The sequence below is a fragment of the Homo sapiens genome, chromosome 13 (assembly GCF_000001405.40).
Source record: "Homo sapiens chromosome 13, GRCh38.p14 Primary Assembly".
NCBI classification, from domain to species: Eukaryota; Metazoa; Chordata; class Mammalia; order Primates; family Hominidae; genus Homo; species Homo sapiens.
The window spans coordinates 99829444-99856546 of NC_000013.11; the positions used below are offsets into that span (position 1 = coordinate 99829444).

The following is a 27103-nucleotide window of genomic DNA, read 5'->3' on the forward strand; positions in this document are numbered from 1 at the left end:
CTCATGTACAAGTAGCTAGTTGGTGGCTTTACTCTTCCCAAGAGATCTACTTTATTTTATGGGCAATGATGAGTTTTAATAAAAGCAGGGTTGTTGTTGTTGTTGTCATTACTGATCTTGGGTTTCTGGTTTATCTTAGAATTGAGCACTAGAAAGGAAGTGAGGAGAATTATTTTCTAGACCAATAGGTGCTTTTGACTCAAATGATGACATTGGACACTTCTAGGAACCTTTAAAGTAGGGACATTAGCTCCAGTTACGTCACCTTTCCTCTAAGGGTACAGTGAAGGATCAGGAGCTGAACAAGCTGACCTCAGTCCCAATCAACTCCGAAATGTGACAGCTGATTAGAGCCTTGCAGCCTTTCAGGTACTGTTTAATCATTTACTCGCTTGAGTGTATAAGCTCCGTGAGAGCGGAGAGCCTGTCTGCCCATAGCACACACTCAGGAAATATTGTTGAATATGATCATTGGGTTGATGGTCTCACGGGGTGGCACCAAGGGGGCCAGCATGTCAAGCGTAATTCACACCGGAGCAAGCTTTGGGTCACATTCTGAATCATATGTGATGTAGTGAACAAGCTCTCGGATGGGCTTCAGGGGATGTGCGTTCAAGTCCTGGCTCTCCCCCCGGCATCAGAGTGACCTTCAGTCATTTGTTGATCTCTCTCTCGGACTTTTGTCTCCTTGTTTCTAAAATGACTAGATAATTGTAGAGCTTTCTTCAGCCCTAAAATTCTGTGATTCTGAAACTCAGCCAGTCATCTAAAAATGCATTTTCTGCATGATGAAAGATATTTATTAGGCCTAAGTGGAAGAGCCAGCATTCTTGATGAAAAGAATTACTCTATGCACACATCCTAAGGACAGTGGTTTAGATCAGTGCCCTCCTGGTAGAGATGAACAACACAACGGGAAGGACAGGCACTGACGCACATAAAGATGAGGAGGCTGAGCGTGGTTCCAGGCACCACTGCGGTATAGAAAGTGGCACCTAGAGCCAGCCAAGGACATAAAGATGGACTTGGAGACACTGGAGCAGTGTGGGTGCCCCTCAGCCCAGGAATGTTGCAGAGAGGAGTCATATGTGAGATTAGGGTTGCCCCAAGTTACCTCTAAGTTCTGTCCAACTCAACTACTCTGTGAGTCTGTGACAGTCCCTAGCTCTGTGTCCTAGGACACAGTGACACCCCTAGAGATCTTACCAAAGACCTCAAATAGTCCAGGCACTGTTCCTCTTAAGGGATGTAGAGAGGAGAGGGAGAGATGGAAAAGGGAGAACTCACCTTTGTTAACATACTGCTTTCTAATAACTCTTTTAAAGAAGTGTTCATTCCATTGTTCATGGAATATGCTTCCAGTCGTGGATTGCATTGAAAAGATAAGTCCATGTCCTAATCCCTGGGACCTGTGAATGTGACCTTATTTGGAAAAATGGTCTTTGCCGATGAAGTTAAGGATCTCGAGAAAAGACCATCATGGATTATCTGGGTGGGCCCAAAATCCAATGACAAGTGTCTTTTTAAGAGAAATCAGAGACACACAGAGGAGAAGACAGACACAGAAGAGAAGTCAGACACAGAAGAGAAGTCAGACACAGAGGAGAAGACAGACACAGAGGAGAAGGGCACATGAAGGAAGAGGCAGGGGTTGGGTGGCGGCAGCTGCAGGGACTGCCAGCAGCCAGCAGGAGCTGCAGGAGGCAAGGAGGATCCGCTAGAGAGGGACTGCGCCCTGCACACACCTCAAGTCCACATTTCTGGGCTCCAGAACTATGAAAGAATACATTTTTGTTGTTTTAAGCTGCCAATTTTATGGTCATTTGTTATGGTGGCCCTAAGAAACTAATACACCTCAGATATATTATCATTGATACCATTAATCAGGAGCTGCAAGGTCTCTTTTCCTAATTAACATCATGGTTGTTCTTACTAATAATAAGAATAAAAGAACTCTCAGGGAGGCAGGTGGAGGGAGAGCATCAGGATAAATAGCTAATGCATGCTGGGCCTAATACCTAGGTGATGGGTTGATAGGTGCGGCAAACCACCTTGGCACATGTTTACCTATGCAACAAACCTGCACATATATCCCGGAACTTAAAATAAAATTTAAAAAATGAACAAATAAATAAATAAATAAAATAACTCTATCTTAAAACACATTAACAATATTATTGAAGAATAATATTAGATCTTTTGAAGTAAGCATTTTTTTTTGCCCGTGTAATAGCTGTCTGTAAATACCCGCTTCTTGAGTGAACCACCATTTTCTTTCTTTTTTTTTTTTTTGTAGAAGGAAACACACGCTACCAGAAAAAAAGGGGCCCCATTTTGATATCCCTCCATCCCTGGCCTTGTTTTGGTAACTTTGTTTCTGTACCAGATCCACACTCAATCAACCTGTCTGGTTTAGGGTATTTTTAGCTTCATAGAGCAATAGTATCAATACAATTCTGCTGTTTTATTATACATTTATCAAACAGTTCACTATCTGGTCTTTTGGCCAGAATTTCTTGGCCTCTTCTCAGAGCTCTGTCTCAATAGATCTTTTGATAACTGTTTTCCAACACAGTCTTCATTTCAATGTTAGAATATGATGTTAATGAATTTACTAGCTTCCAGTCGAGGATGAATAGCTTACAGTGTTTGCGGCAATATTGGATGTATTTATTTCCAAGGGAATGATTTTTAACAGCACATTGTGTTCTTATTTGCTTTTCACAATCCAGTTCCAGCATCTGAGAAACTTTGCTTTGATGGTTGACTCCCATTAGGGAAACACTGAAAACAATTATCCTGTAGTGGTCTCGGTTCTTCCTGGCAGCTTTGCATTTCCATGGTGCGAGACCACTGGGTCGTACCACTTGTTTCTCCCTCCACGTCCTCAAATGATCTCTTAAAAGAACCCACTTTAGACCTCATTGTTACCTTCCCTCTACTTCTTTTTCTTCTTATTGAATTCAATTCAACAACATGTATTAAATACTTACAACCTGGTACCCAGGTAGAAGAAGCCAACGTATAGACAGGGCATGTCATTGGATAGTGATAAGATCTGATGGGGTGAGTATCTAGGCAACTTAGACTGGGTGTGGGGTTGAACCAGCATATTTAAATTTATGTAAAAACTGAGAAACACCCTGAAAAGGACTTTTATTGTTGGACATAATTCTCTAGTCCTGAAGTTATCATTCAAGGGAGTTCAAGAACTCATCCCTTAAGTGGACTGGGCAAGCTGGCCATTTACCACTTGTCACAGTTAGAATTAGGAACTTGGCTTTCATATTATCCATTGGTGTCACAGAGTGGGAGGAAAACATCAGTAATGGATCCATAGGACCACCAGTGGAGGCAAATTGAATTTGGGATATGTTATATCAAATCTGTTAAAGGGAAAAAAAAGAAAGAAAAGGAGGGGAGAGAAGGAAGAAAAGAAAAAATAAAAGAAAAAAACCCAAAAGAATTCATTATATAACCATTATATGTTAATGGTACAGTTTAAGAGATTTTGAAGTATTGTCATATATCATTTCATTAAGTAGTATATACATACATACATACATATATATATATATATATATATATTTTTTTTTTTTTTTTTTTTTTTTTTTTGAGATGGAGTTTCGCTCTTTTTGCCCAGGCTGGAGTACAATGGCACGATCTTAGCTCACTGCAACCTCCACCTCCCAGGTTCAAGCGATTCTCCTGCCTCAGCCTCCCAAGTAGCTGGGATTACAGGCACCTGCCACCACACCTGGCTAATTTTTTGTATTTTTAGTAGAGACGGGGTTTCACCATGTTGGCCAGGATGGTCTCGATCTCTTGACTTCATGATCCAGCTACCTCAGCCTTCCAAAGTGCTGGGATTACAGGCATGAGCCACTGTGCCCGGCCAGTAGTTTATATTTTTATTCCACCAATTCTTATTCTTAAAGGAAAGAAGGATTAAATAAGCCCTAAATGTTATATTACATTAGAATCTTTGAATTGCTGCCATAGCTACATAATGGTGTGGAAAGTAGTAAACCCATTTTTCCCAACTTATGGGAAAGTACAAACTAAAAATGAGTGAATGAATTAATGCATAAATAAGTCATTAGAACTCTGCCATCAGAGTCCTCCAGTCACCTCCCCCAACACATACTCAAAGACAGAACCATCCCTGAGTGCCTAGGTATTTGGCACTGCCAGAGCCCCTGAGCACCAAATGTGACAGGAAGCGGGGTTACCGTGTTGCTTTTTTTTTTTTTTTTTTTTTTTTTTAGATGGAGTCTCACTCTGTCGCCAGGCTAGAGTGCAGTGGCGCAATCTCGGCTCACTGCAACCTCCAACTCCCTGGTTCAAGTGCCTGGTTCAAGTGAGTCTCCTTCCTCAGCCTCCCGAATAGCTGGGATTCAGGCACACACCACCACACCCAGCTAATTTTTGAATTTTTAGTAGAGATGGGGTTTCACTGTGTTGGCCAGGATGGTCTCGGTCTCCTGATATCGTGATCTGCCCACCTCAGCCTGCCAAAGTGCTGGGATTACAGGTGTGAGTCACCATGCGCAGCCCTGTGTTGCTTATTTTGAGGACACCTGGGCACTTCCAGCCCTGCCTCCTTGGAAGTGGGAGGGATAACTGGCGAGAGAGGTGGGCATGGCTGAGCATGCAGTGGGAGGCAGAACAAAGCCAGAGTCCCACAGGTAACCTTCTGGCCAGTGCCTGGTTCACGCAGCTTTAAGGTGCTCCAAGAGGACTGGGAGACCCCTCAGGACCACGGGAGCCTTGGGAGAAAATAAAGTAATGCCTGCCAAGGTGCCAAGCCAGTGTCAAGCAGGTGGGCCCAGGAAGTAACTCAGTCTCAACCTGCTTATGCCAGGACTCCTGGTGAGCCCACAGCCTGGGAGGGCATACGAGTAGGTCCTGTCCCATAATAGATTACTCAGTCCTGACTCATATAGGGGGCTTATGAGAGAAGGAATCCTAAGGCCTTCCCAGGTGGCCTGCAGGAGCCTCAAAGTCAGCATTGCAGGGAACACTCATTCCCCCTTCCTGAAGTTTCTTTCCTTCAGGAGGGAGCTCCACTGGTGCAGTGCTGTGGTTCTCCCACCCCAGCCCACATCTCCGCAGAGCCAGGGTGATGCACCCAGTGGCTATCCTGGCATATGTAGCTCTGCCTCCTCCTTTTTCCTTCCTCGAGGGTGTGGGCTGCCCACAGGCAGTGTGACTGATTCCCTGCTCCCCGGGGCCCACTCTCTGCCACACAGGATGTTCTCGGTCCTCTGCAGCCTGATGATAAGTCAGTCTAACTCTATGGCCCAGTATTAAAAGACCATGTGGCTCTTTCACTCACTTCTGTCCTCAACCCAGCCTTTATCAGAAATGAAGGAAATGTTCTAATTCTCCTCCTGCTGACACTTTTGTCTTATTGTTCAATTGGTTCAGAATTTTGACGGTCAAGAGGTGATGTGATCGAGATCCTAAGCAAACACCTCTAAACTAAAACAATCATGTACACTTACCCCCAAATTCTACCTATTGTTCTTCCCTCTATTGTTGGAACACACCTCCCTCTTCCTAACACACACAGTGAGAAAGGGAATTCTCCAAGATCAGTAAAAAGATTGCCAAGTAGTGCCAAAGCCCAGAGCCTGTCTCTCTGTGGTTACCTCTTTCCAGATGCTTTTCTTGCTCCTGCCACTACTCTGTTCTCACCGTCGCCTCTACCCTCTATGAGCGGCTGATTCATCTCTGCTTTTGTGTCAGCGTGCAGGCTAAGCTGCTACAACAGAAAAGACACAAAGCAACAGCAGCTCAAACCAAATGAAGTTTATTTCTCTCTCACCCAACAGCACAGAAAGAGGTAGCCGGGTGGTCCAAGGCAGGTGGGAAGTGCTCCTCCTCCATGTTCATTCAGAGACCCACGTTGCGTCTGCCCTGTTGCTCTGACATCCTCATCTGCATGGCTGATGCCGGCTCACCCTACCATGTTTGAGTTCCAGCATCGGAGATGGAGGAAGAGAGAGTGGAGGGCAGGTGGCTTCCTTTTAAGGGTTAAATGTTGCCTACACCACTTCTGTTCCATTCGCATGCTAGCTGCAAGTGGGTCTGGGATATGCAGGCTTTAAGAAGTGCCAAAACTCAAAGGAAAAGGAAGAATGGTTGCTGTGAGCCATCAGCTGTCTCTGCCACACCCCTGTGCAACCACATGTGATATCTGCACATCACCCTGCACTGCATTTTTGCATTGCTCTTTATTGCATTTTTGCATCCCCAGGACCTAGAACAGTGCCTAACACAGCTGAGTAGTTGAACAGCTGAGTGAATGATGAAGGCCTTTTTCCCCCAGCAAGCCAAATCCCAGACCCAGGTAAGAGTAAAACAGAACTAACAGAGACAAGACTTGAGGATGCTGTGAAGGTATCACTGTGCACAGTTAACCAGGAAGTCCAGGGTAGGTGGTAGATTGGCAAGAAAATCTGACAGTGAGCTGACCGCCCAGGGGCCAGGACTTGGAAGACAGGGGAAGGTAAACCAGATGACAACGACAAGGGGCAGCTCAGGGAGGAGCTGTCATTAGAGAGGTGGATTTCAGGGCTTGAGAGTTCGGGATGAGGCAATTTTGAGAAAAGTGAGGCCAAAGTATGACCAAGTCCTCAGGGTGGGTGTTGGGGAACATGCAGTCATGAGATGGGATTTCTCCTGGCGCTGCTTGGAGAAGCTTCCAGCCGTGAGTATGAGGGGGACTTGAAAGGGTGACACAGTCAGACAGTGTGGACTCTGCCAGGGGGAGCGTTGGTTGGTGAGGCGAAGGAGGACAGAGACGCAGATCTAGAAGATGTCTCCCTCTACCCCTGGCCCTGCATACAGGGGAGTGAGGCGTTTCTTCCCCTGGAGAGGGTGGTGACACAAAGCAGGACAAAGCCAAGCCTCAGTTCCAGCACACAGAGTGGACAGTGTTCCAGGGAGTGGCTGCTTATGTGAGGGAATTTGTAACCTTCCAGAAGCTACAGTGCAGTAAGGTAGGAGGTAGGGCCAGGAGGAAATAGGCCCGCACCAAATGCAGGTGTATGAAGAATGGACTTAACCATTGTCACAGTGTCTAGTAACTACCGATTCAGAGGACAAAGTCCCAGTTTCAGGGCTCTGCATGGTGATGCCACGGTGCCACAGTGTGATGGATTACAGGGATCTGTTAAAATACTTATATGCACTTTCCTATGTTTAAGCTTTTTCTATAAAAAGTATATATTGCTTTTATAGTCAGAAAACAATGCCACTTAAATCATTAAATTCTTCCAAGATGGTGGTGCTAGAGAGATTATTTCATTTCTGTGGTCCTTGCTTAGCTGTAAAAGGAGAGTTGGAACCAAACACCGCATGTTCTCACTCATAGGTGGGAATTGAACAATGAGAACACATGAACACAGGAAGGGGAACATCACACACCGGGGACTGTTGTGGGGTGGGGGAAGGGGGAGGGATAGCATTAGGAGATACACCTAATGCTAAATGACAAGTTAATGGGTGCAGCACACCAACATGGCACATGTATACATATGTAACAAACCTGCACGTTGTGCACATGTACCCTAAAACTTAAAGTATAATAATTAAAAAAAAAAGGAGAGTTGGCCTCAGAGGTCCCCACTTAATGCATATCATTGTCTTCCTGCTCAGCTCTCATAGGATTCTTGCCTTCAGTGCACAGGTGGGAACTGGAAAAATAAGGGTCAGGGCCAGGTGTGGTGGCTCACATCTGTAATCCCAGCACTCTGGGAGGCCAAGACAGGAGGATCGCTTGAGCCCAGGAGTTTGCGACCAGCCTGGGCAACACAGTGAGATCCTGTCTATACAAAAAGTAAAGAAAAATTAACCAGGTATGGTGGCACACACCTGTACCCTCAACTAATTGTGGGGGTGAGGTGGGTGGATCGTTTGGGCCTGGAAAGTTGAAGCTGCAGTGAGCACCGTAATTGCATCACTGCACTCCAGCCTGGGTGACAGAGCGAGACCCTGTCTCGAAAATAAAATAAAATGTTTAAAAAACAGTCATGATATAGGTCACCAACCAAGAGCAGAAATTATCATGATTTCAAGTTGCTTTAGCCACAATATTTGCCAGTAGTGTTGCAAGTAGAAATGTCACCTAGTAAAATGGAGCTACCTCGTGGAGATCTGTGTGATGGGAAAATGCTCTGTGAGGATTCATGGCACGTGCTCAAGGGGCTGCTGAGTTCCTCTTCTCAGGCAGGTCTTTCTTCTCTGTGCTTTGGGCACTGTTTGCCCAATAGGCGAGGCATTTATGTGTGCACCAGCGCAGCAGCTTTTCAACCCTGGCCGTCCAGCAGGGTCACAAGGGGAGCCTTTAGAAGCACGTGTCCGAGCCCCACCACACACCCATCAAACCAAATAAAGTGGATATCCCCAAGAAGAGTGGAGACAGAAATCTCTACATACCAAAACGTGTACTAAGCTTCTTAACCATAAATGAGAAACATTTTTGTAAATTACAAATATTATTTTTTACATGATATCTCTGGTTTTCCCTCCTCTCTGTCAAGTGGTTTTAAGTTCTCAAAATCCCAATGCTTTTATATCTGTGAATGCTTCTTGAATACAGTTTAAAAATGATAGTTTTTATCTATTCTTCAAATATGCATAAGTAATTATATATTAGATGTATTTATAAAGGTAAATATTAAGTTTCAGCTAACTTTTTAAAACATAATTTTTATCAAAAATGACAAAGATTGAAAGCTTTTATATTTAAAACTAAGGGATACTCAAAACATTAGATATTTTGCATTTTCCTACCATAAGATGCATAGTAAGTTGACATATTAGGCCAGCAATATGTTATTTTTATTCAAAAAGAAGTAACAAAAGTGAGTATCTCTACTGTTTGGAGGAGGGGGGTTCTTTCGAGATAACTGATCAGAGGAGGGTTATACAGAGAATGTTGGATGTTAAAGCCAGAAAGAACCTTAGAGTTTATCTTGCATTTGTAGAAACTGAGGCCCCGATGCCTACAATTTTTATCTCAGAAATGCCACCGTGTGTGGCATATTTTTCAAGGCACATAAAAATGGGTTGCTGAAAAATTCTCAATCCATGTATTGTTTTTCAGCTTCAGAAGAATGCTAACACTGACTTTTGTTAAATGCTGTAATCTTCCCATATTACTATAAATTGTCAAACATTTCACATTCTTTTTCTTTTTTTGAAACGGAGTCTCATGCTGTCACCCAGGCTGGAGTGCAGTGGCGCAATCTTGGCTCACTGCAAGCTCCGCCTCCCAGGTTCACGCCATTCTCCTGCCTCAGCCTCCCGAGTAGCTGGGACTACAGGTGTCCGCCACCACGCCTGGCTAATTTTTTGTGTGTGTTTTTAGTAGAGACAGGGTTTCACTGTGTTAGCCAGTATGGTCTCAATCTCCTGACCTCGTGATCCACCCGCCTCGGCCTCCCAAAGTGCTGGGATTACAGGCGTGAACCACGGCGCCTGGCCTACATTTCACATTCTTAAAAGCCTTTTGGAAAACTGAGCAACTGGTATTAAGAATGGTTAGATTTGAGAAGACTACCCTAAAGACCATATTGTTAAGCATATTGAGCAGATGAAGAGTTACATTTGTAATCAACTAAACCTTTTTATCAATCTCCATGTGAGTCAACAGTGTAGCCAGCCAGCCAGGAATTAATGCACTTACAGGTGGGGCATAGCATCTGGAAGAGCAGTGGGAGCGCCTGCTCAGAGTTTAGAAGGGGCATCACCAAACCTGGGTATGTCCAGAGCAGGGCAACTCAAGAGGGCAGAGGATGTTGAAAGTGTATCAGAGGGTTTCAGAGAGACAATGATCAGAACTAGGAGGGTTCGAAGACAGAAGACCCAGGGAAACATACGGACCACACTTACATATCTGAAGGTCCATCCAGTGGCTGTGTTTACACAGAAACAGATCATCAGTTGCCAAGAGGATGGCAGGGCTCTTGCCTTGGCCAGAGCTCCTGAGGTAACTATGAAGACTCTTCCCAACTCCAAGACTCTGATTCTGTGATTCTCACTCCAGGACCTAACCTGCTGATGATGTTTACAAAATACAAGAAAGAATCCTAGCTATACGAATCTGACAGACATGAGGAAATAATGCTTCGTGTGTGTGTGTGACACACCATTGGGTGTGTGTATGGGTGACAGAGAGACAGAACAGAGTGGTGGGGAGGGGCATGGAATTTTAAAAGATTAATCTTTTAAAAATTTTTTGTGGGTACATAGTAGGTATATATATATTTATGGGGTACATGAGATACTTTGATTCAGGCATGCAAAAAGCAGTAATCACATCACGGAAAATGGGGTATCCATCTCCTTCAAGCCTTTATCCTTTGTATTACAAACAATCCAGTTATACCCTTCTAGTTATTTTTAAATGTGCAATTAAAAATAGTTACCCTGCTGTGCTATCAAATACTTGGTCTTATTCATTCATATTTTTTTTTGTACTCATTAACCAACCCCACTTCCCCACCCACCCACCCGCACTCCCCACACCCCTTCCCAGCCTCTGGTAACCATCCTTCTATTCTCTATCTTACAAGCATATAGTTCCCAGGAAGGGTAGCTACTCTGTGCCCCACCCCACGCTGGGAACTCTGAGGGCTTCAAACACAGTCCCAACCTCAATGTCTGTCTCATCTATCTGGTTATAGAGACAAGACTAACAACCCTGCGATGGTCAGAGACACCAGGAGACCTCGGGAACTCTGTCCTTGTGGTCCTCATCCCTTCATTCTCCTCCTGAGCCCTTACTCTCCTTTCCTTAAAAAAAAAAAAAATCACTATATACAATTCACCCATCTTAATCATAACCACCTCCATTCAAAAAGGTTACATATGCAGGCCAGGCACGGTGGCTCATGCGTGTAATCCCAATACTTTGGGAGGCTGAGGTGGGAGGATCACTGGGGGCCAAGAGTTCAAGACCAGCCTGGGCAACATAGCGACAGCCTGTCTCTATTAAAAATAAATTTAACAAAAACCAAAAGGCCAGATGCAGTGGCTCACACCTGTAATCCCAGCACTTTGGGAGGTTGAGGCAGGGGAATTGCTTGGGCACAAGAGTTAGAGACCAGCCTAGGCAATATGGCGAAAACCTGTCTCTACAAAAAATTAGCCAGGCGTGGGGGCATGCGCCTGTAGTCCCAGCTACCTGGAAGGCTGAAGTGGAAGGATCACTTGAGCCCAGGAGGTCAAGGCTGCAGTGAGCTGTGATCGTACCACTGCACTCCAGTCTGGGTGACAGAGTGAGACCCTTGTCTCAAAAAAAAAAAAAAAAAAAAAAAAAAAAAAGGGTTACATATGCATATGAAAAAAGGCAGAAAACCGTATTCCCTACTGCCTTCTTAGTTAAACAGTACCAAGGTAGTGTTTGTTGCCCAAACATATTAAATATGGCTTATGAAGTCAGCTTACACGCAGTCCAGATTTACATCCTTTTAAAATCATTTCTCTCACCTAAACCATAACAGCAGCAGATGGACAGAGGAAGAAATGGAATGTGGTCACATTCCATACTAATATTATGAAGTACTTTCACACTGCAATGAGTAAAGGACCATCTGCAACCTATAGCCTGTGTTTCTGCTGAGAAACTGATTCCGGACTTAAGGTTTCTAATTTGGAACAAAAGCACTGAGCAGGTTGCTCTTTGTAATTTTTTATCGAGAGGTGGAGAGCATACTAGGCCTACCTGGATTCCTGAAGAATTCAGCAACCTGAAGAGCACGGCGCACGGAGGAAAGTAGACTCTAGATCTTTAAGATCTGATTTCATACAAAATGAGAGGTCTAAAACTAGATGCCATAGGAGAGAAAAAGTAATACGTTTTCCTCACACATCTTAAGGTTCGTGACTGAGGTACCTATAATGAAAGACAGATTAACAGGAGAAAAACACATACATACTTTTTTTTTTTATTTATTTATTTTTAAGACAGTCTCAGCCTGTCACCCAGGCTGAAGTGCAGTGGTGTAGTCTCAGCTCACTGCAACCTCCGCCTCCCGGGTTCAAGCAATTCTCCTGCCTCAGCCTCGCGAGTAGCTGGTACTACAGGCGCGTGCCACCACGCCTGGCTAATTTTTATATTTTTAGTAGAGATGGGGTTTCGCCATGTTGGCCAGGCTGGTCTTGAACTCCTGACCTCAGGTGATCTGCCTGCCTCAGGCTCCCAAAGTGCCGGCATCACAGGCGTGAGCCACTGCGCCCGGCCACACACATTACTTTAAGCTTTACGTGACAACGTGGGAACCTTCCTAAATAAGACCCAAAGAAACAGGAACACCTATGTATTTTTTTTCTTTCTTTTCTTTTCTTTTCTTTTCCTTTTTTTTTTTTTTTTTTTCTGAGACAGGGTCTCACTTTGTCACCGAGGGTGGAGTGCATTGGCTTGATCTCAGCTCACTGCAACCTCCACCTCCCAGGTTCAAGAGATTCTCCTGCCTCAGCCTCCTGAGTAGCTGGGATTACAGGTGCACACCACCACACCCAGGGCTAATTTTTATATTTTCAATAGAGACAGGGTTTCACCATGTTGACCAGGCTGGTCTCCAATTCCTGACCTCAGGTGATCTGCCCACCTTGGCCTCCCTAAGTGCTGGGATTACAGGCGTGAGCCACCGTGCCCAGCTGGAACACCTATGTATTTTTATGCTTAGATTTGATGCAAGTCGACAGTCGTGTAGAAGTGTGATTGGATGAGGGGGCATGATCTAGCAGTAATAAACCGAGGGGAATTTGGCAAGGCCTGTTTGTTCAGGTTCTTCTTGGCATCTCTGTGTCTTCAAGGATAAGGATGTTCCTTTCCTTTAGGGATAGAGAGGGCACCTCTGGAATGAAAGTTTTTGACTGCTTTGGGGAGAAGGGTGGGGGAAAGGTGAGAGAAAGACCTTCCTGCTTCTGCTGTTTTCTCAAATGTACATTTTGGGTAGTGTGTCCTGAACCCCATCAATGAACAGGCTGCCTCTCGTTGTCTGTGAGTTGATTTGCCCCCTCTAGGACTCTCTCCTGGTGCCAAAAGACTAGCTTCCTGTTCTTTCCTTTTGGTCAGGCACTAGGGACACAAGAGCTATAAATAAGCTACCTTCCCAGTCCTCAATGTGGTCAGAGTGCTGGTGTAAGGACATCTGGTTACTGAAAACAGGGCCAACCTAATATGAACTCAGAACCAACCCCAAGTGGGTGTGCACAGGAAATGGGAGTTTAAATCTGTACAGCCCTTTTTTTTAAAAAAAAAAGCAATTTTAGTTTACATGTTAAAATAGGGATATATTAGCCAGACCATGTGGTGTCAGCCTGTGGTCCCAGCTACTCTGGAGGCTGTAGCAGGAGGATCCCTCGAGCCCAGGAGTTTGAGGCAGCAGCAAGCTGTCATGGTGCTTATAAATAGCCGCTACCCTCCAGTCTGGGCAACATAGCAAAACCCTATCCCTTTGCGGGGGGAAAAAAAGGCATTTTTTTTTAACCTAACATTTATTAACCACTTACGTTATATGATTTCAATACTCACCAACCCTTGAGTCAAGCACTATTCTTATCCCCATCTTTCACATGAGGAAACTGAGGCACAGTGAGGTTAAGAGACTGTCCCTGTCTCGTACACAGGCAGCCATCAGCACAGTGAGGACTTGAAGCAGGATGGCTTGCAGGAGGCTGTGAGAGTTGGAGCCTCATGGTCATTCCTTTGGAGCCTCAGTGAGCAGGTAATTTGGCCTGGCATTTCCACTTCCAGGATTTGTCCTAAGGGATCAGTCAGACAAAAGGACTCTAAGATGAATGTTCTGGGATATTTGTTGCAGCTAGGTTTATCATCTTTCGGGAATCAGGGCAACTGTCACATCCCCAAAGAAGCTGTCTTGCCACCTTGTCTCAGTCGCTACACCCCCATCACTCCTATCCCATTAGTTAATTCTGCTATCTTCATAGTTTCACAGTCTACAATTGTTTATTGGCTTACTTGTTTCTTAGCTGTTTTCCTGACTGGAATATAAGTTCCATGTAGGCAGGGAGCTGTTCTCTCCATTACCTAAAATGGTAGCTGACACATAAAGCATATTCAGTAAATATTTCTTGAATGAAATGAACATATTAATGGCAAACAGCTGGGGAAAAATTAATCTTTTTTTTTTTTTTTAAGACAGAGCCTTGCTCTGTCACCCAGGCTGGAGTGCAGTGGTATGATCTTGGCTCACTGCAACCTCTGCCTCCTGGATTCAAGCGATTCTCCTGCCTCAGCCTCCCACGTAGCTGAGATTACAGGCGTGCGCCACCACTTCTGGCTAATTTTTGTATATTTAGTAGAGATGGGGTTTCGCCCTCTTGGCCAGGCTGGTCTCGAACTCCTGACCTCAGGTGATCTGCCCACCTCGGCCTCCCAAAGTGCTGAGATTACAGGTGTGAGCCACCATGCCTGGCCAAAAAATTAAATCTTACTCCATAGGGAATTGGCCTATCCATGCAATAGAATACTTGGAAGTCATTACAAATGATTGTGCGGATCATGTCGAGCATAAACAGATACCCTGCCTGTGGCTGAGTAAAAAAGGCCGGTGACAGAATGCATGTGCAGTGTGGTTGCCGTACTGGCCGGGGCTGCTGGCAGCTAACCACAGAATTTCGTTTACTGAGTGTAAGCAGAAAACAAAACAGTTTATTACAGGCTATCGGGTAACTCACCGACCCTCGAGGGTGTAAGGAAGGGTTCTGCAGACAAATGCAAGATTGGGAGCCCAAGATGGGAGTTCTGCCTCACCTCAAGTGCTGCCTAGTTGTCTGGATTCCAGAGAAGTCTCCTAACCTCTCTGTTCTTCAGGCAGATGTGGATAATAAAATCTGTGCTGTCCACACTGCAGGACTGTTGTGAGGGCAAATGAGATCACAGGCATGAAAGCCCTTTGAAAAGTTAGAAGAGGACTGTGTATATATTGACATCATCGTTATCAGGTGATTTTGAACGTTGGAACACATGTATTTTGTCCCCAAGCCCCTGGTGTTGGCACACCATTGGGACACCATTGGTCCTCTCTGTTAGCTGCCTGCACATCACTCAGTGTTAAGATCCCCCTGGCAGTGGTCTGGATAAAAAGGCCGGTGATTCTGGCAGTCGTGTTTGCTAAGCTTGTCCTCAAATCATCTTCGGTGTCCTCTTGTGACTTCAGTCACTCTCCCTGTGGGGTGACCTGTGTCTCAGCTTCGGGCCTGCCCTTCTCTTGAGGCACACTAATCTTGCCATCTTCGAAAACAGGCTGTTCTCATCTCGGGTCTACACTGTGGCAGCCACAAAGCTCGGCTTTTTCCCTGAAAGTCTTCCCCATAGCCTGAGAGCTGACACCTAGCGCGTGGGCATTCAAAGTCACTGTCAACCAGGGCTTCATGCATGGTTCAAGCCATTGACTAGGTATCAAAGACCGGATTCAATGAGGTTTTAAATTTCCGTACAATTCCATTTTTTCCATCCTCTTTTTATGTTTTTTAAAAATCCTTCATTGCCTACCTACCATCAGAGGAAAACAGCGTTGTGATATGATGGGGGATTTTAACCAGGTACTAATATTGTGAAAGAGAACGTTAGTGGTCCTGAAACTAGGCATATGTTGTAAGGTGGGGTGATTTTCCCACTTCCTGTATGTCCAGAGGCCCTTCCTGGCAGAACTTCCAGCCCAGGAGACTTTCATCTTCATCTCGCATGAAGGATACAATTTCGTTTTGACGCACGGTTTAGAGAAGCCGTTGAACGTCCACACAATCTGTTATGCTAAATCACACCTGGTGTCTGCACAGAGAAGGCTCTGGCAAGAGTTTTTGCCACTGGGACCAAGGCCTCTGACTCAGAAGCCAAAACATGGCAGTGTTGCAGGGCGCCTGGCTCAACGGCACGGGAAATTAACCTGCTTGTTCTCACGTTAAATGCTTTATGAAAATTCACCGGGCGCAAAAAGAGGGAAGAAAACCCAAGTGGTTGTGCAGTGCGCCTGCCTGGCACCAGTGAAGGAATGAAGCTGCGGAAAAAGTCAATGTGAAGAGCTGGCAGGAGGAGAAGGTGGAAAGCGCGATGGAAATCAAATGCGGTGCCAGCCACGGCATTGTTTTATTAGCATTTGCTCGAGGAAAACATTTAATTATAGAAGATCGGAAGCTCCCAGTGTTTGTGAGCTAGGTGACATGACGCAGGCTCTGCCACTTGCTCCACGATACACATCTTCAGAGGAACTGTGGCACACCGCGACAGGCTGCGAAGAGAAGCCACCTCCCGGGGGCCTGGTCCTTGCTGGGGGGCCCTTAGCTGTAACAGCCTCTGTTCTCCAGCGATCCTCAGTCTGCCTTTTTTAAAAAATTAAGTGTCCTGCTGGCCGTCCTTCTTCTCCTTCGTTTTCTGGTTTTTCCACATTATATTTTTCTTTTCCTTGTTGATTTTTGAAGAAAATAAAATTGACAAAGAATAGGATGGAAAAGTACTACCCTTAAAAATGCTTATATATTTGCCACCTAAAAAAAAAACAAAGCCATTTTTCAGTTATAGTTTTCTTTGGGAAATAATTAGGAAGCAAAACAACCAAGAATAAAAAAAAATAAATGGGGGAGCATGAGGCTGTAGTGAACTCTGTTTGTGCCTGTGAATAGCCACTGCACTCCAGCCTGGGCCAGCAGAGCAAGACCCTGTCTCTACAAAATACATAAGTAAAATAAATGATCTAAAGGACTCAGTATATATTTAAGCAACAGAAATGAAAACATGCAAAGGTGGAACCAACATTACGAATGTTGATGGATATTACCAATATTACCAAATATTGTGTGGAGATTTTTTTTTTTTTTTTTTTTTTTGAGACGGGGTCTTACTCTGTCACCCAGGCTGGAGTGCAGTGTCATGATCTCAGCTCACTGCAAGCTCCGCCTGTGTGGAGATATTTTTTATTCCTTTTTGTTTTAAAGCCCTGTCTACTTTAAAAATAGTTTGTGAAAATAATGATGCAGTATCACGTACCTGCAGGAAGTATTTCTTTGTGTTCCATTCCTGCCATCACATAGCTGATTGTATTACCTGATTTCTTCATTCGTGTCTGCCAGGAAGACTAATTAATGTGCTGCTGAATATAAAGAATCCTTGTTTGGGATGCTGCCCTGCCACACAAGGCAGTGCTTCCTCCAGAAGACAAGAAGTCAAGGACTGGCTTCTGCCGCTGGCTGAAATTAGCATTGGCTCAGTTTGTTTAGTTGCAAGGCTATGTGTGTCTTGTCATTAGACATTTATACTTCTGTGGATAAACTTTATAATCTACTTATGGAGACAAGATTCTTTATGTCAGCACCTTAGAGAAGTGTTGTAGAAGCAGTTGGCATGCAGACAGGAGTCTCCTACAGCAACGTGGGCACAGCTGAGTCGGTCTTAACCCACCTTAGGGCATCCTCATACCTGCCCAACTCATACCTGCAGAAATTGATGATGGGCAGGGAAATAAGTGTTTTCCTCCACAGAAATGAAAAAAAGTTTGCTTTTTTTTAACAAATTGGTTTTTGATATCTGTGTGAAGGGGACAATTTGGATCGGCTTCCAGTAATGTGTATCAGGTCAGCTGGAGAACTAGAGGGAGTCACTGGCTGAAAGATGTTGTGAACATCACTCTAAACTGCTCAGGCCAGGGACAGGTGACACGTCTGTTATCTGATGTGTATCTGGAACCATGGTAAGGCTGCCCCATTAAATTATGAGCCAATCACTCTTGATTTACCGTTAAAAAGAGTGAAAGGCTGGCGGACCCTGCCCTGCACAGGTAATTCATGGCACCTTTGGAAAAAGGCACGTTTTCATCCTCATAATGAAGAAAGCTAGGTACGAGGTCCTTTGATGACACTGTTCCCTTTTGCTTGTTTACTTTTATTCTCCCACGCAGACTGAGACCCAGCAGGAGGCTTTTAAACCAAAACAGTTAATTACCTCCTCTAACCCGGAGAAGTGGGGAAACATAAATATAGCGAGTTAAGAGGGAGAGAGCAGCTTTGCTCCTGACTGTACTTTGTACCAGTCGGTTGGGGAAGGCAGCTACCTTCTCTTTCCTCACTGAGCCCGGGCTAAGCGAGACCAATTAGAAGGCACGTGCCAGGGAGTGGGTCCACATGCTACCATACTGTTGGGCTTCCAGAATTCTTTCAGTGCTCTGGAGAGGAGCCCACCTGAGAAACCCACGTACAGATACCCATTCCAAAGACAACATTGAGTAGCTTTGGGGCTCTGGACCCTCCTTCGAAGGAAGGAACTCTTGGGCAGGTGGAGTGAGCAGGGACCCCCAACTTGAGGATGGATCCTCCCGAAGGCAGGCAGGGCTGCAGGGCAGCTTCTCAGAGATACTTCTCAACTGAGCTGTGAGTCATGACCTGTCACCACCATGGTCCTTTCTCCCCAATGGAACGGAGCGTCATTCCTTGTGTCTCCAAGCCCTGGGCTGCCCCTGCCCTTCAGGGCTCTCCATTGTCTGCCTGTCTGTCTGTCTGCCTGTCTGTCTGTCTCCTGGTTCAAGCTCCCTCCCTCCATAGCCTCATATGTACAAATCATCACCTTGCTGTGTTCCCTCACTGTTCCTGCCGCTGCCCTGCTGCTGTCCTTTGCCCATTTCTGGCTCTCTCACCTCCTCTGCACTTACTGAAATCCTGTTCAGTCTTCAGAGGCCACCCGAGTCCCAGACTCCCCTCCTCCAACCCCCTTCTCAGCTTGAGGTGCCGTCCCCTGCTTCTAAGTCCCAAGGGCCCCAGGATCTGTTCCACTGACTCCAACTGTTACTTCACTTCTCATTATATGGGGCTTTCATCGCCACAACTGGATGATAAATTCCCAGACTTCAACAGGGAGTGATTTATGGATCTTTTCCCTATGTCCCACACCTGTCCCCAGCACCTGGTGCAGTGGATTGCATTTAATTAATCCCTCTGGATAAAAAGTTTTAAATGTACCAGACCAGCATCATCAGGCAGAATCTGGGCATGGTATTCAGGAAGTTTTCTCTTGGGAATCACAAACATTCTTTAAAAAAGGGCACATCCCCTGTTACCTAAATGCCTTCAAGTATCTGGATGTTTGGCCATAAGTACATAAAACAACCAGATGAGTGATTGTGTTTTTCAGTTTTCCTCTGGATCCTTCTGCCACCTATTCCCTGGGACCCCTCGGAGACAGTGGGCACCACTCCCCATTCCTCTGCCCACAGATTGTCCCGGCTCCCTGTGCCCCTTGCTGCCCTGCTAGAAACCAGAAATTCTAACTTTGCCCCTCTGAGGCTGTGAAAACACAGAGTAAAAGTGGGAAGAGCCATGAGCTAGCAGATTCCACAACCACAGACAAATCTGAGCATGGCGGTGGTTAATAGTATTGGGAAAGATGGCTGAGTACCGTGGCTCACGCCGAAAATCCCAGCACTTTGGGAGACCGAGGCAGGCAGATCACCTGAGGCTTGGAGTTTGAGACCAGCCTGGCCAACGTGGTGAAACCCCATGTCTACTAAAAATACAAAAATTAGCTGGGCGTGGTGGCAGTCACATGTAATCCCAGCTACTTGGGAGGCTGAGGCTGGAGAATCGCTTGAACCCAGGAGGTGGAGGCTGCAGTGAGCCGAGATCGTGCCATTACACTCCAGCCTAAGAGACACGTGAGACTCCATCTCAAAAAAAGAAAAAAGAAAAAAAAAACACTATTGAGAAAGACAGTGTAAGCTTGTGGTACGTAAATACTCTGTCTTTTTTAAAAGTTGTGTGTAGCCGAGTGTGGTGGTGCATGTCTGTAGTCCCAGTTAGTCGGGAGGCCGTGGTGGGAGGATTGCTTGAGCCCAGGAGTTTAAGACCAGCCTGGGCAACATAGTGAGACACTGTATCTACAAAAAATACAAATAATTATCTGGGTATGGTGGTGCATGCCTGTAGTCACAGCTACTCAGGAGGCCAAGGCGAGCGGATTGCTGGGGCCTAGGAGTTCGAGGCAGCAGTGAGCCATGATCCTGCCACTGCACTCCAGCCTGGCTGACACAGCAAGACCCTGTCTCTTAAAAAAAGTCTGTGCAAAGTGTACGTCAAAGCCACACTACTGAATCATAAAACATCGGCAGTGCCCGCCCACCAAGGGCATCTTCTCAGCACCAGCTCCACATTGTCCTATGAGTTTGAGTCAGAGGTGCCTCAGAGGCCCATAAGGATGCCTGTCAAGGTCTTCGCAGAAATACCAAAGGCCTGGCACATATAGTTAAGGAAAATCCACCAGGAGGAGATGGAAAAAGGGCAAGGTAAAGAGGAGGAAGAGAGGGGAAGGTGACGGATAGGGCTATGGCAGCAGAGAGCCAGCACCAGCCAGTTGCCAGTCAGGGCCAGGGCAAGGCAGCCAAGGAGGCAGACAGAAGTAAGCCCCTTCTTTCCACTGGAGTTTTCTCTTTCCTGGGAATTTCATTGTATTTTGTTGAAAAATAAGGTGTGAAAATACAAAACAAAAATATCACGATCCCCCCAATCCACACCATATACAAATATATATACTCAAAATGTATTAAAGACCTAAATGTTATAGCTAAAACTATTAAACTCCTAGAGAAAGACATAGGTATATATCTCATGACCTTCGATTAGGCAGTCAGTGGTCTCAAGATGATAGCAAAAGTGCAATCAACAGAAGAAAAATAGATAATTGGACTTTAGTAAAATTGTAACTTCTGTGCTTCATAGGACACCATCAAGAAAATGAAAAGATAGCTTCAGAATGGAAGAAAATATTTTCAAGTCATCTATCTGGTAAGGATTTGATATCCAGAATATCTAAAGAACTGTTATTTTGTTGTTGTTATAACTCAACAACAAAAAGACAAACAGGCCTGTTTAAAAGTGGGCAAGGGACTTGAATAGACATTATCCAAAGAAGATAAACAGATGGCCAATAAGCACACACAGAGATGCTCAGCATCATTAGCCATTGGAGAAATGCAAAACAAAACCCATTGAGCATGCACATCACACCACTAGGATGGCTGTGACCAAAAACAAACCCTGTATCAATAAAATAGAAAATAGCAAGTGTTGGTGAGGATGTGGAGAAATATGAATCCTGGTGCATTGCCGATGGGAAGGCAAAATGGTACAGCCGCTGTGGAAAACAGTTTGGCAGTTCCTCAAAAAGCTAAACGCAGAATTACTATATGATCCAGCAATTCTACTCCTAGGTATATACCCAAAAGAATTGAAAAGAGGGACTCAAAGAGAAACCCATATGCCAATGTTCATAGCAGCATTATTCACAATAACCAATTGTGAAACAATCCAAATGTCTACCAACAAATGAATGGATAAACAAAATGTGGAATAGACATAAAATGGAATATTATTCAGCCATAAAAAGGAATGAAGTTTGGATACATGCTGTGACATGAATGAACCTTAAAACATTATTATGCTTAGCGAAATAACCAGAACCAAAGAACAAGTATTATTTCACTCATAGGAAATATATAGAATAGACAAATTCATGGGTACAGAAAGTAAATTAGAGGTTACCAGGAGCTAGGGGCAGGGGAAAATAGGGAGTTGATGCTTAATGGTTATGGAGTTTCTGTTTGAGGTGATTAGAAGTTTTGGAAATAGGCCAGGTGTGGTGGCTCATGCCTATAATCCCAGCACTTTGGGAGGCTGAGTGGGTCACCTGAGGTCAGGAGTTTGAGACCAGCCTGGCCAACATGGCGAAACCCTGCCTCTACTAAAAATACAAAATTAGCTGGGTGTGGTGGTGGATGCCTGTAATCCCAGCTACTCGGGAGGCTGAGGCAGGAGAATCACTTGAGTACGGGAGGCGGAGGTTGCAGTGAGCCGAGATCATGCCATTGCACTCCAGCCTGGGCAACAAGAGTGAAAGTCCACCTCAAAAAAAAAAAAAAAAAAAAAAAGGTTTGGAAATAGTGGTGATGGTTGACAATGTTGCATAAGTAATTGGTGCCACATTGTACATTTAAAGAAGATTTAAAAGGAAAACTTTGTTTTATATATATATTGCCCCCATTTTTTAACGGGCTAAGGATGTAAATAGACAGTTCACCAAAGTAGATATAAAAATGGCCAATAAGCACATGAAAGGATTCTCAACATCATTAGTCATGAGAGAAACACAAATCAAAACTACAATGAGAGACCACTTGGTGATACCCACGAGGATGACTAGAATAAGAAAGACATGTGGTAGTAAGTTTCGGCGAGCATGTGGAGCAGTTGGAAAGGAACCCTCAACACACAGCTGGCAGGAGCAGAAACTGGCTTAGCCACTTTGGAAAACAGCGGACAGTTTCTTAAAAGGTCAGACATACAGTTACCATATGACCCAGGAATTCTACTTTCTCTTAAGTATATGCCCAAGAGAAATGAAAACCTATGTCCATATAAAAACCTGTATTGAATGTCCACGGCAGCATTTCTCATAATAGCCACAAAGTGGAAACCAGCCAGGTGTCCATTAACTAACAATGGACAAAATGTGACCTATCCATACAATAGAATATAATTTGGCAATAAAAAAGAATAAGTATGGATAGGTGCTACAACATGAATGAATCTTGAAACATACTAAGTGAAAGAAGGCAGTCAGAGAAGACTACCTATTGCATGGTTCCATTTATACATTCCAGAATAAGCAAATCTATAGAGGCAGAAGGTAGAATAGTGGTTGCCTAGGTCTGGAGGGTTGGGGAAACGGGAGTGACTTGCTAAGAAGTATGAGGTTTCTTTTCGGGGTGATACATACCTTCTTTTTTTGTTGTTTTTGAGACAGTCTTGCTTTGTCATCCAGCCTAGAATGCAGTGGTGCAATCACAGCTTACTGTAGCCTCAAACTCCTGGGCTCAAGTGATCCTCCCACTGCAGCCTCCCAAGCAGCTGAGACTACAGCTGTGTGCCACCACGCCTGGCTTATGTTCTAAAATTGATTGTGGTAATGGCTGTACAACTCTATGAATACACTAACAGCCACTGAATTGTACACTTAGGTAAACTGTATGTCATGTGAACTTTATCTCATTAAAGCTGTTATCAAAATCACAAACCTAAAAATAATTTTCACCAAAATGATTTCCCACAAATAACAACTAAAGCGATGTTTCAGTCATTAACTAGAATAGTTTTTAACTTTTTATTGTGGAAATATTCAAATATATACAAATGTAAAGAGAGTAGTATAAAGAACTCCCATATACTCATCAATCAGCTCCAAAAATTGTCAGTGTTTTAGGGTGCTTTCCCCCCTACACTTTATTAAAAAAATTTCAAGCATCAGAAAAGTTGGAAGATTGTACAGTAGAAACCAATATACTATACACACCTCCTATATTCTCCCATTAATGTTTACTCTGCCTGACTTAATCTGTATCTGACCATCCATTCGTCCCTCTCTCCATCCATCGATTTGCTTTGTATTAATATATCCATTTCAAAGTAAATTGCAGACAGCAGTACACTTCCCCTTAGGTACTCCTGCATGCATATGAATGACTAGAGTTCAATATTTGTTTACAGTTCTCTTTGTGTTTTTGAGGTGAAATTTATATACAATGAAATGCACAAATTTAAAGTATATGTTCTATGAATTCTGACAAATGTATAGGTTTGCATGACTCAAAGCCATTGTTCTAACATCTTTAAAAAATATTTTTAATTGGTTGGAGACCTTCAAAACAAATTCTTTTCATAGGTTTATTGTGTTTTAGTGTTGGAGTTTTTTGGTAAGGTTTTCTCTTTTTCAATTATATCTCTGAAGGGCAGAAATACCAATTATATATTATAAGCTACCCATCTATACACATCCTCAGCCTTCTTAGTCTTTTGAATGAAAGCCAATTTAGCATTTCACTATAAACCTGTGTTTTAATGTATGTTTCATGATTAACATATCAAAAACTTTGCTCTGCCAAAATCTACATTTTCAGAGTAAACAGGGTGCCTGGCATGTAACGCTTTGTAAGATGAATCAGCACATACAATTTTAAGCCAGTTAACCTACAGTATGCTCAATATTGTTATAGGTTTTCTTTTTTTCAAAAACAGGCAAACTAAGTTTTCTTTTTCATGTGGAAAAAATAACAGGATAGAAAACTCAACACTCACCTTGCCTGTTGAAACATACTACCAGGTTGTAATAATCTGAGAATTCATTTGCCTTTTTTTTTCAGTGCAGTCACTACAACAGTCTCTGATCATTATTACAGTAAATTTTTACACATTTATGAGAAAAATCCAATATAATTGACTGGTGAGGATGGTCTATGTCCTAAGCAATGCTGTTTTTAAATACAAATTGATAAAAAGTTATATGAAAAAGGCCGTCCTTAAATAGAATAAATTCGTTCCGTTTTTTATTTTAAACCAAACTTGATCTTGACATTTTCAATAAGATTTTCATAGAGATGCTCCTGGGGCCTTCTGCTAAAAATTTGGACCACTTCATGCCCGTGACATGACATCATTTTACACATTAGATGAAATGAAAATCAGATGAGATGGACACATTCAGAAGGGATAGAATTTACTGTCGTTTTTGAATACGTGGCATGGCAATTGCCTTTTGCAGGATGAAAATATTCATTGTACTTTTCTTTCATCACAAATGTTGTGGATCTCCCTGGAGTCTAGAAAGTCTTTCCTATTTCTTAATTACCAAATCTTGGGTCGCACATAGCTTTCTCGTTGTTCCTGTTGCACCCAGGGCTGTCTCTGCCATTTCCTCTGAAAACAACTATACATTAACATTCAAGGTTTGAGTCGGGGGCTGGGAGGCGAAGGGAAAGGTGATAATTCAGATGTTATGAAACTGTGATAATGCTATTATTTAAGGCACTTACTTGGGTATGTTTATACTTTGTAGTTTTATAAATAAGCCCAAGGGGCTCCTCTTGGTTGTCACAATCCCCCTTGAATCTCGTATCCTGTCTGTCTCATCCTATCCGACAGTAGAATTGATGCCGCTCTAATCCCTGGAAGTTTGGAACTAATGAACTGACTGCTGAGCTGCCGCCACGGAGCTTGGTCCCAAACTATACTGTACTTCACACTCGATTTATTCTCCAGATGGCGAGACTGTGCCGCCCTGCCGCGAGGGACCACCTCTTCCACTGGAGTGTAAAAGTGGACGGATGTTGTTTTCTTTGCAGATTTGATCATTCTGAGCTAGAAACTTGCGAGGATGATTAGTTATTAGCTTTAATGGGTGCCAATTGAACCAACTGCACGCATATTTTCTCCTTTAATTTCAGAGTCTGCAGGTTTTGGTGATGGTTGATTTCTCCGCTTTCTTACGTCACCAGAGCGTGTCTCTTCCCCAGGTGATAGGAATCCAGTCTCTGAAATCATAGCACGCCTTGGTTCCTGGCCCAGACAGAGTCACCTAATACGGTGGCTTATGGATAAGGACAAGTTTATTAGCCACTGGTCCACTGCACTGAGCAGCATGGCACGAAATATCGATTGAATGCGGCAACTTTGGGAACACCATTTTTTAGAATGGGGGCCTGCAAAGATTGTAATCTGTGCCAACTTCCTCTATGACCTGGGCAGAGTCCACCTCTGGATCAAACATGATCCAGAACACGCTATGGTAATTAGTCTCTTCGAAGTTCTAATGTAACTGTTGATAAAGGCCTTAATTCCATTATTCAGTCATTTCCAGCTTGTCAGATCTTGGGGGACAAGTTCATTCCACAGTGAGAATGGCTCACCAAGGCTGTCCTGTAGTGTTAACACATTTAGAATGCAGTCCCTCTCAAACCTCATTTTAAACAACCTGTATTACTCCTAGGATATAAAAGCCCCCATAAAAGCTCTTTTTGGGGTGACCGCTTTTACCTTAATTTCCTTTTTCTCCTTCCTCCAGGAAGCACTTACCTCCCAATAGTCGTAGCAGGTCACCCTGAGAGCCCTTCTGAGAGCTGGGGTCAGCCAGGCAGCCTCTTGCTAATCCACCTAAGATGGATATTGGAGGGATGGTCAGAGCCAACCAGGAGCCAAAGAAAGAGAGAAAGAAAAAGAAGGAAAGTGTGAAGCGTGAAGGATGAGGTGGTGGAGATGAGAGAGCTGAGAGCGCTGTTAGCAAGAAGTACAGTGTGTGTGGCAGAGAGAGGGAAAAAGAGAATAAAATGAACAGAATTTCTTTCTTTTCACAACTGGGTGGACTGTGACTCTCTCGAACTGAACACCCAGAACTAAACTTAATTGTTCTTAGAAACTGCCTTCCTCCCAACCCAACAGATGGCATGGGCGTGTTTGCTAGCACAGTCAAATACTTCACCCTGAAAATACCAAAAAGAAAAAAAAAAATTCAACATGCTCGCTGGTTGGGGTAAATTCACTGAAGTTGTTGAGTGTTTTGGGATATATACCAGAGGGATGCACACTTGGTTTATGTAAATTGTAACAAGCAACAGCCGGTTAATAAGGGTGTCGTATGGCAACTTACCTCAAAAGCCATCCTCTGTTTTTGGAAATGTACAGAATGATGAAGTGTAAAGAGCTTGGTTTCCATTCTGAGCCAAAATTTTTTAAATGCTGAGTATTCACTGCTCATTATTATAATATGAAAAGTACTAATCAGATTATGCCTAAAATTGGAAGTAGGTACTTCATTTGCAGCCAATTTCACAAGGGCCGAATTTTGCTAAGTAAACTGGAATGTGCTGAAACCATGGCAATCCGACTTTAGATAAAAATCAAACAGGTTTAGAACATGAGCTTTGAACAAACAAGTCCCTTCAAATCCAAGTGAAACCAAACAGCTTCAAGATCAGATTTTGTTTGACACCAGCCAACATTAACAATTTAGGAAGTTGATGTTGCCAGGGATCCTGCGTTCTTGAGCACACATGCAGATTAGAGGATGGAGATGATGACTCAAATAATTTAAGCTTTAAAATGCAGTATGGCCTAAAAAACTGAGTGAGTTCCCTTCAATTTTCCATTCATACTGTCCCAGTAGACTCTTTGCAAGGCTGACTTAGCTATTAAAAGGGAACCTGGAAGTCACATTGACAAACTCCAGCAATCTTATCTCGTTTTTTTGTAGCTGCAT

At 43.8% G+C, this 27103-nt stretch overlaps 1 protein-coding gene and 1 long non-coding RNA gene across 11 annotated transcripts in view, besides 2 other annotated features; one reads left to right on the forward strand and one right to left on the reverse strand.

Moving 5' to 3' along the window:
* Nucleotides 1-27103, forward strand: part of CLYBL (citramalyl-CoA lyase) — a 302755-nt gene that overhangs the window by 222754 nt on the left and 52898 nt on the right. The gene's annotated exons all lie outside the window — the stretch shown is intronic.
* The window catches only part of CLYBL-AS3 (CLYBL antisense RNA 3), a 216296-nt gene that overhangs the window by 88574 nt on the left and 100619 nt on the right, over nucleotides 1-27103 (reverse strand). The gene's annotated exons all lie outside the window — the stretch shown is intronic.
* Nucleotides 4133-4885: an enhancer, noted in NCBI's record as "H3K4me1 hESC enhancer chr13:100485830-100486582 (GRCh37/hg19 assembly coordinates)". NCBI's record gives its function as "activates a minimal SCP1, AML or CMV promoter by ChIP-STARR-seq in primed H9 embryonic stem cells {active_cell/tissue: H9 hESC(primed)}" and the evidence as "EXISTENCE:reporter gene assay evidence [ECO:0000049][PMID:30033119]".
* Nucleotides 24918-26117: an enhancer, noted in NCBI's record as "BRD4-independent group 4 enhancer chr13:100506615-100507814 (GRCh37/hg19 assembly coordinates)". NCBI's record gives its function as "activates an origin of replication core promoter dependent on BRD2, P300/CBP, MED14 and CDK7 cofactors, and independent of BRD4, by STARR-seq in HCT116 cells {active_cell/tissue: HCT116}" and the evidence as "EXISTENCE:reporter gene assay evidence [ECO:0000049][PMID:35650434]".